Source organism: Homo sapiens, chromosome 16, assembly GCF_000001405.40.
Source record: "Homo sapiens chromosome 16, GRCh38.p14 Primary Assembly".
NCBI classification, from domain to species: domain Eukaryota; kingdom Metazoa; phylum Chordata; class Mammalia; order Primates; family Hominidae; genus Homo; species Homo sapiens.
The window spans coordinates 58,488,222-58,503,238 of NC_000016.10; the positions used below are offsets into that span (position 1 = coordinate 58,488,222).

A 15,017-nucleotide genomic window follows, 5' to 3' on the forward strand; every position below is an offset into this window, starting at 1 on the left:
TGCTGCTCCTCCGTCTGTGCGCTCTTTTCCTTATCTGCCTCCCAAGCCTCTGCGGCACCTGGGCAAGTCTAACCAACAGTGCCACCCGGGGCAGTGGGACAGAGGCATCACAGGTTATGATTTTGTCCCAAAGACCCCTCCGTCAAGGGACAAGGCATTAGAGGCCAGAGTGACTTTCATGCCACCCTTTTTTGTTGTGACAACACCCTGTCCACCTTCCCTTTCCCTCCCTCCCAGTGCCGTCATACTGGTGACTGTGACACAAACCACTTTCAAAAAGTGTGGGTTCCCTGCTTGTTGGATTCTGAGGCATCAGGGCTGGGGTCCCTGCAAGTTATGCTGCCCGGACCCCCTTCTTTTACAGATGGGGAGGCCAGGAGCCCAGCCCCTCAAATCTGCAGGGCACTGTAGTCTGCCCTGCCCTGCCTCCCCAGCCTCCCATCACCAGGAGGGGAGCCCAGGAGCTACTGAGCAGCCAGGATTGGAACTGTGCAGCCAGCCAGGGATCCAGGGATCCAACCACATGAGGTTGCAGTCCTGCCCCCAGGAAGAGTACAGTGTTATCTTCCAGACAGAACCTTGAGTTAACTGATAAGGCCTGGCTTATCCGAGGGCAGCCACGGATAAGCTGCCCTGGTGGGGTGGTGACTGCACATTTTTCAAGCCCTTTATTCTAAGTTTACTTGCTCCCTGGTCTGAGCCTCCATCAGCTGCTACCCCAGGATGCTTGCAGAAGCCTCCTTGCTGGTCTTTTTGCTTCTGCCTTCGCTCTGTACCCTTTTAAAATAAGCCATGAGCTGGGCATGGTGGCTCACACCTATAATCCCAGCACTTTGGGAGGCCGAGGTGGGCAGATCACCTGAGGTCAGCAGTTTGAGACCAGCCTGGCCAACATGGTGAAACCCTGTCTCTACTAAAAATACAAAAATTAGCCCGGGCGTGGTAGTGGGCGCCTGTAATCCCAGCTACTCAGGAGGCAGAATCGCTTGAACCCGGGAGGTTCAACCCCAAGACTGCACCGCCGCACTCCAGCCTGGGCAACAGAGCAAGACTGTCTCAAAACATAAATAAATAAAAAATAAGCCATGTCACTTCTCTGCTTAACGAGCCATCTCAGTCAGACATGGGACCCAGGATGCAATCTGCACCAGCTCCCCCGCCTGTTCCCAGCTTACTTCTCTCTAGCCTCCTTGAACATGCCCATCATATTCCTAGTACATCTGCTTGGGATACACTAGCCCAGAAATTTGCAGGGCTGGCTCCACTCCTTGTTTTATTCAGGCCTCTGCTCAAATGCTCCCTCCTCAGAGAGTCCCTCTCTAACCCCTGGGTCTAATATTGAAACCCCAACATGCTCTGGCCCTGGCCGTGTCACTTAGCCTGGTTTGTGTCTGCCCCGCCCCGCAGGTTCCCAGGACAGAGATCTGTTCTGTTTTGCACCCCCAGGTCTCCCCAGTGCCTCACACAGCACACATAGCTCTCAGTAAAAACATGGGCTGGGTGGAAGCCACAGATGGTGATACAGCTCAGAAGGAAGAAGTTTCTCAGAACTTTCTAAAAAGTGCCCCCCTACTCCCCACTCCTGCCTGTGTCTTTCTTTCTGTCTTTTCCTTCTTTCTTTCTTTTTTTTTCTTTTCTTCTGAAGCAGGGTCTCACTCTGTCACCCAGGCTGGAGTGCAGTAGTGCCATCATAGCCCACTGCAGCCTCAACTTCCTGGGCTCAAGTGATCCTCCTGCCTCAGCCTCCCGAGTAGCGAGGATCTTAGGCATGTGCCACCACAACTGGCTAATTTTTCCATTTTGTAGAGATCAGTCTTGCTCTGTTGCCCAGACTGGTCTTGAACTTCTGGGTGCAAGTGATCCTCCTACCTCAGCCTTCCTAAGTGCTGGGATTACAGGCCTGAGCCTCTGTGCCTGCCTACCAGCCTGTCTTTTGAGGCATGAAAGCAGAGTTCTCCTGTGAGGTTTTGATAGGGCAGATGGTGGCCCTTGGGGACCCCTGCATCCCATCGCAAGTGCTGAAGTGTGCAGGTTGCGGGACAGCCGCACGGAGGTGCTGCCTGCTGGTATGGAGTGTGCCTCTGTGGTCCAGCAGGGCCCCCCAGTACAATGGGGAGAACTAGGGCATCTTGGCCTGGTAACTTCCATGCCTGTCTCTTCCACTGCCCACCTCAGCTGGGCACCCTTCTCTGCCTACCCTGGCCCAGCCCTCACTGCCCCTCCCTCCCTGACTCAGTGGGCACACTCCTGCCTCCTCATGCCCTCTGGGCACCCTGGCCCTACTGCAGGTGGTGTCTCTATCTACCCATCACGAGGACCAGAGTTTGCCACTATAACATCCTCACCCCTGCATGAGGGTCTCCGTTTCAGATCCTGTGGAGGCTTCTTCCCTCTTTCATGAGTCAGCACAGGCCCCATGCTGTGGGCCTGGGCACATCTGCTTTTTCCAAAGGCACCTCAAAAGCCCCATTCCCGCCAGACATGTTGGCTCACGCCTGTAATCCCAGCACTTTGGGAGCCCAAGGTGGGCGGGTCACCTGAGATCCGGAGTTCAAGACCAGCCTGGCCAACATGGCGAAACCCCATCTCTACTAAAATTATAAAAATTAGCTGGGCATGGTGGCGCATGCCTGTACTCCCAGCTATTCGGGAGGCTGAAGCAGGAGAATCACTTGAACCTGGGAGGTGGAGGTTGCAGTGAGCCAAGATTACACCACTACACTCCAGCCTGGGCGACAGAGCGAGGCTCTGTCTCAAAAACAAAATAAAAGCCGGCCGGGCATGGTGGCTCACACCTATAATCCCAGCACTTTGGGAGGCCGAGGCGAGCGGATCACTTGAGGTCAGGAGTTCGAGACCAGCCTGACCAACATGGTGAAACCCTGTCTCTACTAAAAATACAAAATTAGCCAGATGTGGTGGTGAGCTCCTATAATCCCAGCTACTCGGGAGGCTGAGGCAGGAGAATCACTTCAACCCGGGAGGTGGAGGTGGCAGTGAGCCCAGATCTCACCAGTGCACTCCAGCCTGGGAGACAGAGTAAGACTCTGTCTCTAAATAAATAAAGCCCCACCCCACACCCGACACAGCCTCCTGGATGCTGCAGCGTGGCACCCCATGCAGTCCTACCCCCTCTCTCTGTCTTCAAGAGCTAGTCTGGCTCTCTCAGGCTGTGGCGCTCACAGACGATTCTCCTTTTCCAGCTGCAGTGCTGAAAGCATCCATCCTTTTCACTTTTTTTTTTTTCATTTTATTTAAGACAGAGTTTTGCTTTTGTTGCCCAGGCTGGAATGCAATGGCGCGATCTCAGCTCACCACAACCTCCGCCTCCCCAATTCAAGTGATTCTCCTGCCTCAGCCTCCCAAGTAGCTGGGATTACAGGCATGAGCCACCACACCCGGCTAATTTTGTATTTTTAGTAGAGATGGAGTTTCTCCATGTTGGTCAGGCTGGCCTCAAACTCCCAACCTCAGGTGATTGGCTCGCCTTGGCCTCCCAAAGTGCTGGGATTACAGGCATGATCCACTGTGCCCAGCCCCATCCTTTTCACTTTTTATTTATTTTTTGTTTAGAGATAAGTCTGGCTCTGGCACCCAGGCTAGAGTGCAAGGGGTGTGACCATAACAGCCTCCTCCTTCAGGGAGGTTAGAGAGGGCTCAAGTGATCCTCCTACTTCAGCCTCCTGAGTAGCTGGGACTACAGGCATGCACCACCATGCCTGTCTCATTTTTCTATTTTGTAGAGACATGGGATCTTTCTATGTTGCCCAGGCTGGTCTCGAACTCCTGGCCTCAGGCATTTCTCCCACCTCAGCCTCCCAAGTAGCTGGGATTACAATCGTGAGCCACTTCACCTGGCACCCTGTTCACTTTTTAAATGTTCTGCCATTTGCCAGGTGCAAATTCTTTCAGTCCAGTGGGAAGTGAGGATTTCCACACATCTACTCACAGCCTGCCCGCCCACTGCTGGAGCCTGGCTTTTGCCTTTGGAGACTCCAGTGCCTGGCCTGTCTGGGTTCCTCTGCTCCTATGTCCCCATCCTGCCTCCCACACACCACTCCTCTGCCTCCCTCAGCTGGGCCCGCACTGCCACCTGTTCTCCTCCTCGTGCTCACCCTGTTCCCACGGGACTTCAGGGGCCTCTGCATGGGCTTCTATTCTTCCTGCATTTTCTTGGCTTTTGAGTCCTTCCCCTCCCACACCCTTCATCTCCTGGGGCCCCCAGACCCAGAGAGCATACAGCACACCCTGCCATTATCTGCTCCACCGTGTGTGTGTGTGTGTGTGTGTGTGTGTGTGTGTGTGTGTGTGTGTGTGTGTGTGTGTGTGTGAGAGACAGACAGACAGTCTCGCCCTGTCACCCAGTCTGGAGTGTAGTGCCACAATCTTAGCTCACTGCAGCCTGGACCTCCTGGGCTCAAGTGATCCTCTTGCCTCGGCCTTCCAAAGTGCAGGAATTGCAGGTGTGAGTGACCACGCCCGGCCTTCTTTTTTGTTAGCTTTTGCTTGTAACAAAACTGCCGCCTCTGTCCTTCTCTGAGATAATTGCCCTCTTAAGGTCCCGAGTATAGACATCTCCCCTTCCTTCTCCTCAGCCCGCTTGTGCAAGGTCTTTGAGTGAGAGATTCATGATCAGCCCCAGGCCCTTGTCCTCCCCCTCCAGCCCCATCCTTTCCCTCCTCTCCTTCCCTCCTCCCTGCAGAGCCACCACAGGCCTGGAACGAATCTGCAGAAGAAGCCCAAGTGGGTGTGGCCATTCTCTATGTGACAGTCGCAGGCAGCCCAAAGCCTGGCTTTCCCCTTTGGGCATGGGAACCCCTAGTGCCCTCTGATTTTTCTCCACCACCTGGCCTGCTGGAATGCAGGTGGCTGAACTCTTCCTTATTTTGGGAAAAATGGCAGAAATACTGGTTTCATTCTTCTGCTTTCCACTCCTGTGATTTGGGGTCATTTTCCTCCTTGTACTTACCTAGCTGACTGCTTCCCTCATCCTCCTGTGGCACCCTATTTCTCATGTGACTGTCTCAGTCATCCGTGGTTTGTTTTTGTTTGTTTGTTTGTTTTTGAGACAGAGTCTCACTCTATCACGCAAGCTGGAGTGCAGTAGTGCAGTCTCAGCTCACTGCAACCTCTGCCTCCCAGGTTCAAGTGATTCTCCTGCCTCAGCCTCCCTAGCAGCTGGGATTACAGGCATGTGCCACCACACCCAGCTAATTTTTGTATTTTTAGTAGAGACACGGTTTTGACACGTTGGCCAGGCTGGTCTCGAACTCCTGGCCTCAGGTGATCTGCCCGCCTCAGCTTCCCAAAGTGCTGGGATTACAGGCATGAGCCACCATGCCTGGCCAATCCATGTATTTATTCCTTAGGAGGATCTGTAGCAGGCACAGTCCAGTGCTGGGATACAAAGGGCAGAACGATGGGCAACACTGAGCTTCTCCTCTAATCCTCACAACACTGAGGCTCGGAGGCTGAGTGAGCTGCCCGGGAGTTCACAGCCTCGCAGAGCGGGGCAGAGAGGTTTCTAGGCAGACGCAGGGGAAGGCAAGGCAGAACCTGTGAGTTCTCCTTTACCTGGACGTGTGCTGGTCCCTGATTAGTTTCCCTCACCAGGCCTGAAAGTGGCCCGAGTCTGAGCTGGCCAGCTGTCTTGTTGTACAGATGGGGAGACGGGGACCCAGAGTGGGTGAGTCGCACAGCCAGAGCCAGGCCCCCGCAGAGTGTCTGTGGGCCCCTCGGCCTCAGGGAGAGCCTGGCAACTCAGACGCGGGGTTCCAGCCCCCGCTCCTCCCCAGCCATCTGTGCAGCCTCGTAACCTGTGGGTGCATTTTGAGCCTCTCTCCCCTCATCGGTGAAGCCTGATTGTTCATCCAGATCTGTTTGTGTCTGGGGAGCCCCTTCCATGCCAGCATCATACTGAGAGCACAGCTAGATGTGGTCCCGCCCTCGTGGTGCCCGCGGTCCGGTGGGTAGAACACGCACTAGCCAGACTCAAACGGTTCACTGTGAAGTAAGCTCCAGTGATCTGAGGCACAAAGCGACCAGGTCTGGAGAGGTGGGAGCAGCTGCCACTGTAACTTTGTGTGGATTGGAAAAGGTCCCTCTTTCCCCCTCACTGTGTGGGCCTCAGCTTCCCCATCCCTACAAGTGGGCATGTTAGTCACGCCCACCTCCCCCCTTCCCTCCCTTCCTTCCACCCTTGTGGCCTGATGGTCAGACCATGAAAAACATCTATGGGAGCAGAAGGGCAAAGTGACCAACAGCAAGGATTTGCAGTGGGACATTCCAGCACTTTCTAGCCCTGTGACAGCCTCTCTGAGCCTCACCCTTGTGGCCTGTAAGATGGAATCCACACCTCCTTAATGAGGACGCTCACACGCTCCTCCACCAAGTACTTGGTAGCCAATGCCTGGCACTTCGGTGAGCCCTTGGTCACTTTTGTTAACATTGAGACAGACTGGTGGGCTGGGTGCGGTGTTTCATGCCTGTAATCCCAGCGCTTTAGGAGGCCAAGACAGGAGGATCATTTGAACCCAGGAGTTGGAGGATACAGTGAGCTGTGATTGCACCACTGCACTCCAGCCTGGGTGATAGAGTGAGACCCTGTCTCTAAAAAAAAAAAAAAAGAAAAGAAAAGAGAAAAGACAGACTAGGGGACAGAAATTGAGTCTGCTAAGGCCCCACGGGCTCCCCAGACCAGCCAGGGCCTAACTTGCCACCCCCTCTGTTTGCCTTCCCCTAGGAGAGCTCCGATGCCTTCCTCTTGGCTGCAGACACAGACTGGAAGGTAGGTCAAGGCTCAGACCCCCAAGATGTGGGACTGACAGCTGGCAGCCCCTCACCCCACCTGGCCAGGTCCCAGAGGAGGGTCACAGCCCTTCTGTGTGCCCCCTGCCTAACAGAGAGATGCTGGGGTGGGAGATGAACTGGCCCTGCTTCTGCGAGCAGCAGGGAAGAGACGGGGCCTCTAGGGGGAGTGAGAATGGAAAAGAGAGTGAGGGATGTTGTCATCTGAATCAGCATTTTCCTCCAATGAAAGGCAGGTTGACTCTAAAATAGCTCCTGTTTCCATGACAGCTGTTGCCAGGACAACCCTGTCCTCCTTAGTTGATGCCAGGTTCTCCGTGGAAACTGAAAGCGCCCTTTGTTTTTATTCCTCCGGGTGATGATGTTGCTCACTCGGCCAGTCGTTTCTCCCCTCTGAGTCCCACAGTGACCATTGATTTCCGGGTCTGGGAAAATGCCTGACAGCAGACACAAGGGAACCCTGCTGGGTTCTGGGGCCCCACTGGCCATCCCGACATGCTGAACCAATTCAGACCCTTCCTCCTGGTAAGGTGGAAGCAGCTCCCGAGTCTCTGTCCTTGCCTGGGCCTGACCTGGTTTTGGGTCAGCCTCCAAGCCCCGTGACAGCACCAGCCAAGTGGTCTGGATGCAGGGGTGACACGGAGGCGGGGCTGCCCTTTGGCTCGTCCCCCAGTGGGAGCAACGCGAGGATCAGTGTGAGAATCTGGGCCTGTGTGCTGGTCCCTCGGTCACGCGCCACTTCAAGGACGAGAGGGGAGACTTCAGGGCAGCCAATGTACATGTGCTCAGATCCTCCGGGAATGCCATCTCCAAGCACAAAGGGCTCTGGAGCTGGAAGGAGAGGCTAGGGTTCCGGCAGTGGGGAGTGAATGGGAGCCCAGGAGGTGGGATGGGAGGGAAGTGGTCGGGAGCTGGCCCAGGCTGGTGGGAAGGGACAGCCGGAGATCAGGGCAGGCTCACCAGGGGATTTTCTTTGTCCTCCATGCTGCAAATGAGGATGAGCTATGCAGGCAAATGGGCCCTGGAGGAGGGGGTTGGCCAAGTAAAATCTCAGAGCAGCCAGCCGGTGCCTCAACACACTGGTCCCACAGTGTGGGAGGCCGACGCCAACAGTGCTGATGCCAGCCCCAGCACACAGGCCCACGGTGTGGGGGACAGGCAGAGGGGAATCCTGGAGTCGTGGAGGAGACCCTACCATACCTCTGGGTTCCCAACTGCTGCTGCGAAGCTGCCTCTGGCCCCTGAGCCCTCTGAGCTGCAGCCCCGGAGTTGCGGGGCCCAGGGTGTGTGGGACCCCGGTTCTCAGGATCCTCTGCTTGGTAAAAGGCAGGTTGCATTAAAAGGCACCTTCCTGTCCACTCCTGTCACACCACATGGAGGCAGCATTTTTTTCGTTTTTTGTTTTAGAAAAGCAGCCACAAGAATGGATGGTCGTTATCTGGGCCAAGACCTGGCAGGGATTTTATCTCCTGCTCACTATGGCAGGCGTTGTCACTGTCCCCTGCCTCCGTGGGGGCAGCCAGTGGGGGAGGTAGTATAGCAGAGGGACTAACATGAGCCAGACAGACCTAGGTTCTGGCCCCGCCACTTCCAAGCATGTGACCTCCAGCCCAAGTCACTCCATTTGTCTACCGCATTTTCAGGGAGACAGGCAGCACGGACCTCCCGAGTGTTTCTAAGGCGATGGTGCCCATGGGCCCCTCATATGGACACTCAGCTGACCGTGACGAGTGGCCACCAGAGTGTGGAGTTAGCACCAAACTGCCTGGGTGTGGTTCCTGGCTCTGTGCCCACTAGCTGTGTGATGTTAGGCAGGTTACCAAACCTCCCTGTGCTTTATTTGCCTCATTTGTAAAGAGGGTATTAAGAGAGAAAATGAGTGCTCGCCCCAGCAGCACATATACCAAAATTGGAATGATACAGAGAAGATGAGCACGACCCCTGTACAAGAATGACCCACATATTCGTGAAGCCTTCCATACTTAAAAATATTTTCCAAAAAGAGGATAAAGGCTGGGTGTGGTGACTCATACCTGTAATCTCAGCACTTTCGGAGGCTGAGGCAGGTGCATCACTTGAGGTCAGGAGTTTGAGGCCAGCCTTGCCAATATAGTGAAACCCCATCTCTACTAAAAATACAATAATTAGCCAGGTGTGGTGGCAGGCGCTGGTAGTCCCAGCTACTTGGGAGGCTGAGGCAGGAGAATGGCTTGAACCCGGGAGGCGGAGGTTGCAGTGAGCAGAGATTGCACCATTGCACTCCAGCCTGGGCAACAGAGCAAGACCATGTCTCCAAAAAAAGAAGAAGAAGAAAAAAAAAGAGGGATAGAGAGAATGGGTAAAGCACTCCAAGAAAGCCTGGCACATGGAGGACATTTGAACATAGTGTTTGCCACTCTTGATTCTGAGACCTCAGGCCCACCCAGAGTGCTGGGGTACTAGTAGCTGCCGCTGCTTACTAGCCAAGTGAGGAAATTACCTAACCTCTCCAACTCTCAGTTTCCTCATCCCTTCTCATAGGTCCATGAGGATTATATGTATTATCCTTGCAGCTGCCTGTGCAGTAGGCACTGCTGTTTCTCCCATTTACATACGGAGGCTCAGAGAGGTTGATTGACTTCCCCAAGGTCACACAGCAAAGAAGTGGCAGAGCTATGAGTGGCACCAGGGTTTGGCTGGCAAGACCTGGGTTTGGCTGGCAAGACCTGAGCCTGCCTTGTCTGGCCACTGTAACTGCACAACCACCAGAAAAAGGGCCAACAATTTGGAGAGGCACACAGGCTGCCTCATTTCTCCCCTGCCAGGACCTGGGCAGGGGTGGGGTCAGATCTAGAGTGATTTCTGCAGTTTTTTCTGATTCTCACAGCAGCTTGGTGAGAAAGGCACACAGTCCCTGCTTTACAATTAGAAGCCTGAGACACAGAGAGGTTAAAAAAAAAATCTTGCCCAAGGTCACCCGGCTGGTAGGGGGCCAGGAAGGACTTAAACCCACGTCTGTGGGTTTGCAGACAGCTGAGCAGTCATGGAGGCTGTGGCTTGGAGTGGGCAGTGTCGCAGGTCAGCTTGTCACCTGGGTCCAAAGGTGGGGAGAGGCCACTCAGGGGTCAGAGGTTGGAGTGGGCGTAGGATTGGGTGGGGCCTTGGGGGACATGGGAGGGCATTGTGGGCAGAGGGCAGGGCTGTGCCTCAGTTTTCCAAGCCTCTTCCTGTGCCACAGTGCCTGCAGGAATGGGGAGCATGGCCAGGAGGTGACGGGCCAGGGGGACTCCCCATTCTACTTCCTGCTGCCCTGGGGAGCACAGGGCCTGTCAGTCTTCCCTAGGCCTCCAGAGTAAGAGGTGAGAGATGGAATAGGTGCCCCCAGGCAGAGGACATGACCAGCAATAGTGTACATAGCAGGTGTCGACCAGGTCAGCAGGTACCCAGAGATGAAGAGATGACCACTTTCTCCAAGGGCAGCCAGTCAGCATGCAGGGCCATCAGCATGGGCTGGGGTGAGTGGCGTGTTCCTTCTTCAGCAAGACAGGGAGAGGAAGCCGGATAGGAGGCAGCTACTGACGTTGACATGCCCACCTCCTGTAGACCCACCCGGCCCTTGTTCCTGGAGGCAACCAGTTTGGGGCTTGGCTCTCGGGTATCTGGGGAGCAGGACACTAGGGCTATCTCAGGCTCTGTGCCCTGACCCCACCCTTGCCCAGGCCCTGGCAGGAGAGAAATGGGGCAGTCTGTGTGCCTCTCCAAACTGTTGGCCCCTTTTCTGGCAGTTGTGCAGTTATCGTGGCCAGACAAGGCAGGGTCAGGTCTTGCCAGCCAAACCCTGATCCCACTCATAGGTCTGCCACTTCTTTGCTGTGTGACCTTGGGCAAGTCAGTCAACCTCTCTGAGCCTCCATATATAAATGGGAGAAACAGCAGTGCCTACTGCACAGGCAGTTGCAACGATAATACATATAATCTTCATGGATTTGGGAGCATAGGCACGCAGCAGCCCCCTTCTCTCTGTGGCTCCTGCTCTCCCAGCCTTGGGCCCCCTCCTCTGCTTCCCTCTCTGGCCTATTTCCTCTCCTCCTGTGCACTTCTTGGCCTTTCTTCTCCTCTGCTCACTCCACCTGCAGGCCTCGGGCGAGCTCGCCACCCAGATCCTTGCTGCCCAGGAGAACAGGGCACGGAGCCTGAGATAGACCTAGTGTTCTGCTCCCCAGAGACCCGAGAGCCAAGCCCCAAACTGGTTGCCTCTGGGAACGAGGGCCGGGTGGGTCTACAGGAGGTGGGCATGTCAATGTCAGCAAGCTGCCTCCTAGCCCCGCTTCCTCTCCCTGGTGGTCTGGAGCCCCTGGCAGCAGGGTGAGGGTGGGGAGGGCAGAGCTGGTGTGTGCCTGACCATACCCCTGGCCCTGCTATCTGCCCAGGGCCCCTGGCCCCCGGCCCCCAAACTCCATTTTCAGCATGTGGGGAAACCCCCTGTATCTGCGTGGGCAAGGTGGGATTTTCATCCCTGGTGGGTGGAGAAGGAGCAGCCCCTTGAAGCAGGGTGATAACCCAAGTTGCCCCAGAAAGCAGCAGCTCCCCAGGCCTCCACAAGGTTAAGCGATGGAACCTTCCTAATGGGAAGGCTGGGCGTGGGGGTCTGGTCCCCAAGATGTTGGGCTTGGGGCCCTCTCGGGCCCTCCATACTCCCCAAGGTGTGGGTCAAGGGCTCTAGCTGTCTGGGCAGTGCCCATGCACCCTGCCCTGCCCCGCATTGGTAAGCTGTGCATGTCTGTGACGACCCTGTGTGTACCTGACATGGGTGAGTCTGTACGTGTGGTCTCGGCTTTTGTATTCGGAGGATCCCGTGTGAGCTGCAGCTGTTGGCGTGTGCCTATGTGCTGGGGGCGGATGCAGGGGCTGGGGACCATCAAGGATGATGTGTGGCTGGGGTGGGAGGAGCAGTGACAGGGCTGGGGCAAGGAGGACTTCAGAAGCCAATTGGAGCCAGGCTTGTCTCCCAGCAGCCAATATGGGAGCTGGGGCTCCTGGTAAGCGAGTGGCTGCTCAGAAACCCTGCGGGGAGGAGGGGCTAGCTAGGCTGGGCCAGGATCCCTGTATAAATGGCCCAGGAGCTGTGCCCCATCACAGAGCCGACCATCTCCCACTCGAGCTGCCCCCGCCCTCTGGACCCGAGTGACTCAGGCCTTTGTTTGTCCTTCCTGGTAGAGGCGGGTTCCCTCCCTCGGCAAGATGCCGGAGTGCTGGGATGGGGTGAGTGAGGGCGCTGCGGGCATCAAGGTGGGCCGGGAGGATGGTGCATCCTTATGACCCACCGCAGGGAGGAAGTGCCCCCCTCAACCCACATCTGGTGGCAGCCCGGCCTTCAAATAGCCTCACCCTGGGGTCACTGAGACACGGCCAGAGTGCTCCAGGTTCCCTGGTGATCCTGTTTGCAGGAGTGGCTGGGGGCAGCTGCTAGTCAGAGCCCATAGCAGGGGCTGGGGGGAGCGTGTGGTTGGGGGGTGGGTGACATATCTGCAGGAAATGGAACGTGGAAGGCACTGTCTGACTTGGCTGCATTGCCCGTGTGGACCCGGGCGCTAGTGCCTGCATGTCCCTCTGACCGTGTGCCCTCTGGTGTGCGCTTGGATGGTGTCTGCCTTGGTGATGCCTGGGGCCATCAGGCCAGGGGGCGGGGGTGTCCTTGGTGAGCCCCCGAGGCTGTGTGCCCAGTGTGCGTGCCGGGTCTGTGCGTGCAGGGGCTGCCGTCCCAGTGGGCGGCCGTCTAGCTTGTTTGGATGGCTGCGCCAGTGTGATGGGAAGGACAGGCGGCCTCTTCCTTAGGAGCCACCTCACAGTTCCCAGGGCTCTGCTGCGCCAGCCGGGCAGAGGCAAGGAGGTCTGGGCCACACAGGAATGACAGCCTTTCAGGCAGGGGTCCCTGCTGGGGAGGAACGAGGAGGGGTTGCCTGCCTGCCTTATTTTGTAGGTGGGGGAAGGCAACGCTGGAGCCGTGAAGCTGGCAGGGCTAGGGGACCCCAGGTGGAGCCCAGGGCACCTCCTCTCGCCGGGGCATCAGGTACCCCGGCCCCATTCTTCCTCAGGAGGGAGAGGCAGGGGCAGACTCACCCCCACCCCCGGGCCCCACACGCCTGCCCTGCCGGTTCCGCAGACGATAGGTCACCCCGCACGCACGGAGGTGACGACGTCAGCACCTGCCCGCCCATGCAGACCCTGTCCCCTGAATTATTGATGCGGCTGACAGGCCGAACCACAGCACCACCAGCACCAACTCCCACACCGGCGCAAAGCCCGGCTCAAAGCCCCACTCCCCTCCAGTGCTCAAGGTCACAGGCGAGGGGAGACGGACCGACCGAGAGGAGCCGCCACAGCCCCCTCCCCTGCTGCCGCAGTGCTTCCCGCCTGCGCCTACCTGGAGGCGGGGCCGGCTCTGACGTCACCCAGAGCCAATGGGAGTGCTCGGCCCTGAGGGTTGGGGGCCTCAGAGTGCACCGCGCTGTGGCCCTTGTGGGGCTGCCCTTGCGCAGCGCTCCAAGGGACGGGGATGTTTGGCTTCGATCAGGCTGAACTGAGTCCTGAGCTCTCCGCAGAGGGTGAGAGAAGGCGTTAGGGAGGTTCGCAGCAGGGTTCAGCGAAGGTCACTGGACTTCGTAGGACAGGTAGCCCGGTGACGCCCAGGCCCAGCCCCAGCCCTTCCCATCCTGGGAGATGAGCCCTAGTAGAGCCTGATCACGTCACCTCAGGGGGATGGGGACAGGGGCGGCCACACCAGGGCTGGGAGAAGACAGTGGGGCCTCCTCAGCAGCAGAGAGCAGACACCCCTCACACCCCTCAGGCGGACCCGCACGCTGCGGGTCTGGGTTTGGAAGGCACCGCCCTGGGCTCTCGACGTCTGACCCCAGGAGGATAACTGTCCTTTATGCAGCAGGAGGCGCATTGCAGTTCTTTTGCAGCCCCACCCTCCAGAGCTGAGAGAACTCACAGGTGGCTGTGAAAGGGCTGCCTGGTCAGGAGCTCCCTCGGGTGGAACCTGATCTCCTGTGAACATGCAGCCTTCAGTGCACCGCCCTGGCCCCTGAGACTGGCACCTGGCAGGGCCTGCCCTCCCTACTCTGGGATTGACCTTGGGCAAGTCATTTCCCTTTCCTAGCCTCAATTTCCTCCTCTATGGCTTGGGCCTATGTGGGAAGTAAATGAGAAAACTGTGGGTCAGTGGTCAGTGGCGGGGAAGTGTTCCTGGATTTGATGGGCCCCGAGAAAGGATAGGCCTGGGATGGGAGGGGCTGTGTGGTCTGTCCCCTCTCAGCCCTGGTGTGGCCTCCTCATCCCCTGGGTGGTGCAATCAGCCGCATGGCTCACCCTAAGGCTCATTACCTGGGCTCTCCTGGAGGACAACAGGGAAATAAAAAGGGCCTGCAAGTCAAAGAGTGTTCTCCAGGGTAGAGCCTTTGGCCACCAGGTTGGTGCCAGCTTGTCACTCCACACTGGAGACACAGGCCTGGACAGTGGTCCTCTGAGACCAGACCCACTAATGCTGGCCCCTGAGCAGCTGTCTTCTGCTGTCTAAATCTCCTTTCCCATTTGGAGGCAGGAACTCAGGTTCTTTCTAAACCAAAGTGTCCTCACCTGCAAAACAGGGACTAGGGTTCCTGTCTCTTGGGTAACATGCAGGAAGCCTGGCACACAGTAGGTGCTCAGTCGCTTGATGTTTCTTTCATGTCCTTGACCCCAGCCCCACCTCCAACTCACTGGGCCACTCACGTGGTTCCCAGGGCTCACAATGATGCAGAGAGGATCGGTTTATTTAGCTCAGATGGCCCCTCTTGAAGTTTGCCCATCCGAGTGGCTAAGAATGCCCAGTTTGCAAAGGAACAGCGAGAAGGGCATTCTCCCAAGGCTCAGGGATGCCCTAGCATAACAGCCCCCTTTCTGGGGCTTTCTCCAAGTGCTAAATGCTCCACAAACATTGGCTTGTCTAGTTCCCGCAAAGTCCCTGTGAGGTGGTTCTGGATGGAGAGGCTGAGGCACAGCAGAGAAGTAACATGACATGCTCAGTCACAAGTAAGGGGTAGAACCAGGTCTTCCTGAGGAAGTAATGACCTTGAGCAGCAAAACCAAAGGTGTGAACTCAAGAGGATCCCAGAGCAGGCTCTGCAGAAGGCCTCTAGAGGGGATGGGGAGGGGGGTCTGACCCGGGCCTGCCTGAAGGGAGCCCTTGA

At 56.8% G+C, this 15,017-nt stretch overlaps 1 protein-coding gene and 1 pseudogene across 33 annotated transcripts in view, besides 10 other annotated features; both read left to right on the top strand.

Moving 5' to 3' along the window:
* NDRG4 (NDRG family member 4) overlaps window positions 1-15,017 on the top strand; it is a 51,673-nt gene that overhangs the window by 24,507 nt on the left and 12,149 nt on the right. For 17 of the 33 annotated variants that reach the window (NM_001378346.1, NM_001378338.1, NM_001378342.1 and 14 more), the window contains one exon: window positions 6,743-6,787. In NM_001378346.1, coding sequence (NP_001365275.1) covers window positions 6,743-6,787 — 45 coding nt within the window. Of the gene's footprint in view, window positions 1-6,742; window positions 6,788-11,921; window positions 12,049-12,766; window positions 12,857-15,017 lie in introns of those variants that run through there. The other 16 variants (XM_047434509.1, XM_006721256.4, NM_001378339.1 and 13 more) reach the window with 3 other exon arrangements.
* Window positions 4,504-4,798: a silencer, noted in NCBI's record as "tiled region #13659; K562 Repressive DNase matched - State 20:ReprD". NCBI's record gives its function as "represses a minimal TATA promoter and a strong SV40 promoter by Sharpr-MPRA in K562 cells {active_cell/tissue: K562}" and the evidence as "EXISTENCE:reporter gene assay evidence [ECO:0000049][PMID:27701403]".
* Window positions 7,410-7,965: an enhancer, noted in NCBI's record as "H3K27ac-H3K4me1 hESC enhancer chr16:58529535-58530090 (GRCh37/hg19 assembly coordinates)". NCBI's record gives its function as "activates a minimal SCP1, AML or CMV promoter by ChIP-STARR-seq in naive H9 embryonic stem cells {active_cell/tissue: H9 hESC(naive)}" and the evidence as "EXISTENCE:reporter gene assay evidence [ECO:0000049][PMID:30033119]".
* Window positions 7,966-8,521: an enhancer, noted in NCBI's record as "H3K4me1 hESC enhancer chr16:58530091-58530646 (GRCh37/hg19 assembly coordinates)". NCBI's record gives its function as "activates a minimal SCP1, AML or CMV promoter by ChIP-STARR-seq in naive H9 embryonic stem cells {active_cell/tissue: H9 hESC(naive)}" and the evidence as "EXISTENCE:reporter gene assay evidence [ECO:0000049][PMID:30033119]".
* RNU6-103P (RNA, U6 small nuclear 103, pseudogene) lies at window positions 8,687-8,793 on the top strand (annotated as a pseudogene).
* Window positions 11,751-11,830: a silencer, noted in NCBI's record as "silent region_7552". NCBI's record gives its function as "represses an Ori minimal core promoter by ATAC-STARR-seq in GM12878 lymphoblastoid cells {active_cell/tissue: GM12878}" and the evidence as "EXISTENCE:reporter gene assay evidence [ECO:0000049][PMID:35858748]".
* Window positions 11,751-12,596: a biological region, named in NCBI's record as "H3K27ac-H3K4me1 hESC enhancer GRCh37_chr16:58533905-58534721".
* Window positions 11,780-12,596: an enhancer, noted in NCBI's record as "H3K27ac-H3K4me1 hESC enhancer chr16:58533905-58534721 (GRCh37/hg19 assembly coordinates)". NCBI's record gives its function as "activates a minimal SCP1, AML or CMV promoter by ChIP-STARR-seq in primed H9 embryonic stem cells {active_cell/tissue: H9 hESC(primed)}" and the evidence as "EXISTENCE:reporter gene assay evidence [ECO:0000049][PMID:30033119]".
* Window positions 11,841-11,900: a silencer, noted in NCBI's record as "silent region_7553". NCBI's record gives its function as "represses an Ori minimal core promoter by ATAC-STARR-seq in GM12878 lymphoblastoid cells {active_cell/tissue: GM12878}" and the evidence as "EXISTENCE:reporter gene assay evidence [ECO:0000049][PMID:35858748]".
* Window positions 12,597-13,414: an enhancer, noted in NCBI's record as "H3K27ac-H3K4me1 hESC enhancer chr16:58534722-58535539 (GRCh37/hg19 assembly coordinates)". NCBI's record gives its function as "activates a minimal SCP1, AML or CMV promoter by ChIP-STARR-seq in primed H9 embryonic stem cells {active_cell/tissue: H9 hESC(primed)}" and the evidence as "EXISTENCE:reporter gene assay evidence [ECO:0000049][PMID:30033119]".
* Window positions 13,415-14,231: an enhancer, noted in NCBI's record as "H3K27ac-H3K4me1 hESC enhancer chr16:58535540-58536356 (GRCh37/hg19 assembly coordinates)". NCBI's record gives its function as "activates a minimal SCP1, AML or CMV promoter by ChIP-STARR-seq in naive H9 embryonic stem cells {active_cell/tissue: H9 hESC(naive)}" and the evidence as "EXISTENCE:reporter gene assay evidence [ECO:0000049][PMID:30033119]".
* Window positions 13,824-13,873: an enhancer, noted in NCBI's record as "active region_10928". NCBI's record gives its function as "activates an Ori minimal core promoter by ATAC-STARR-seq in GM12878 lymphoblastoid cells {active_cell/tissue: GM12878}" and the evidence as "EXISTENCE:reporter gene assay evidence [ECO:0000049][PMID:35858748]".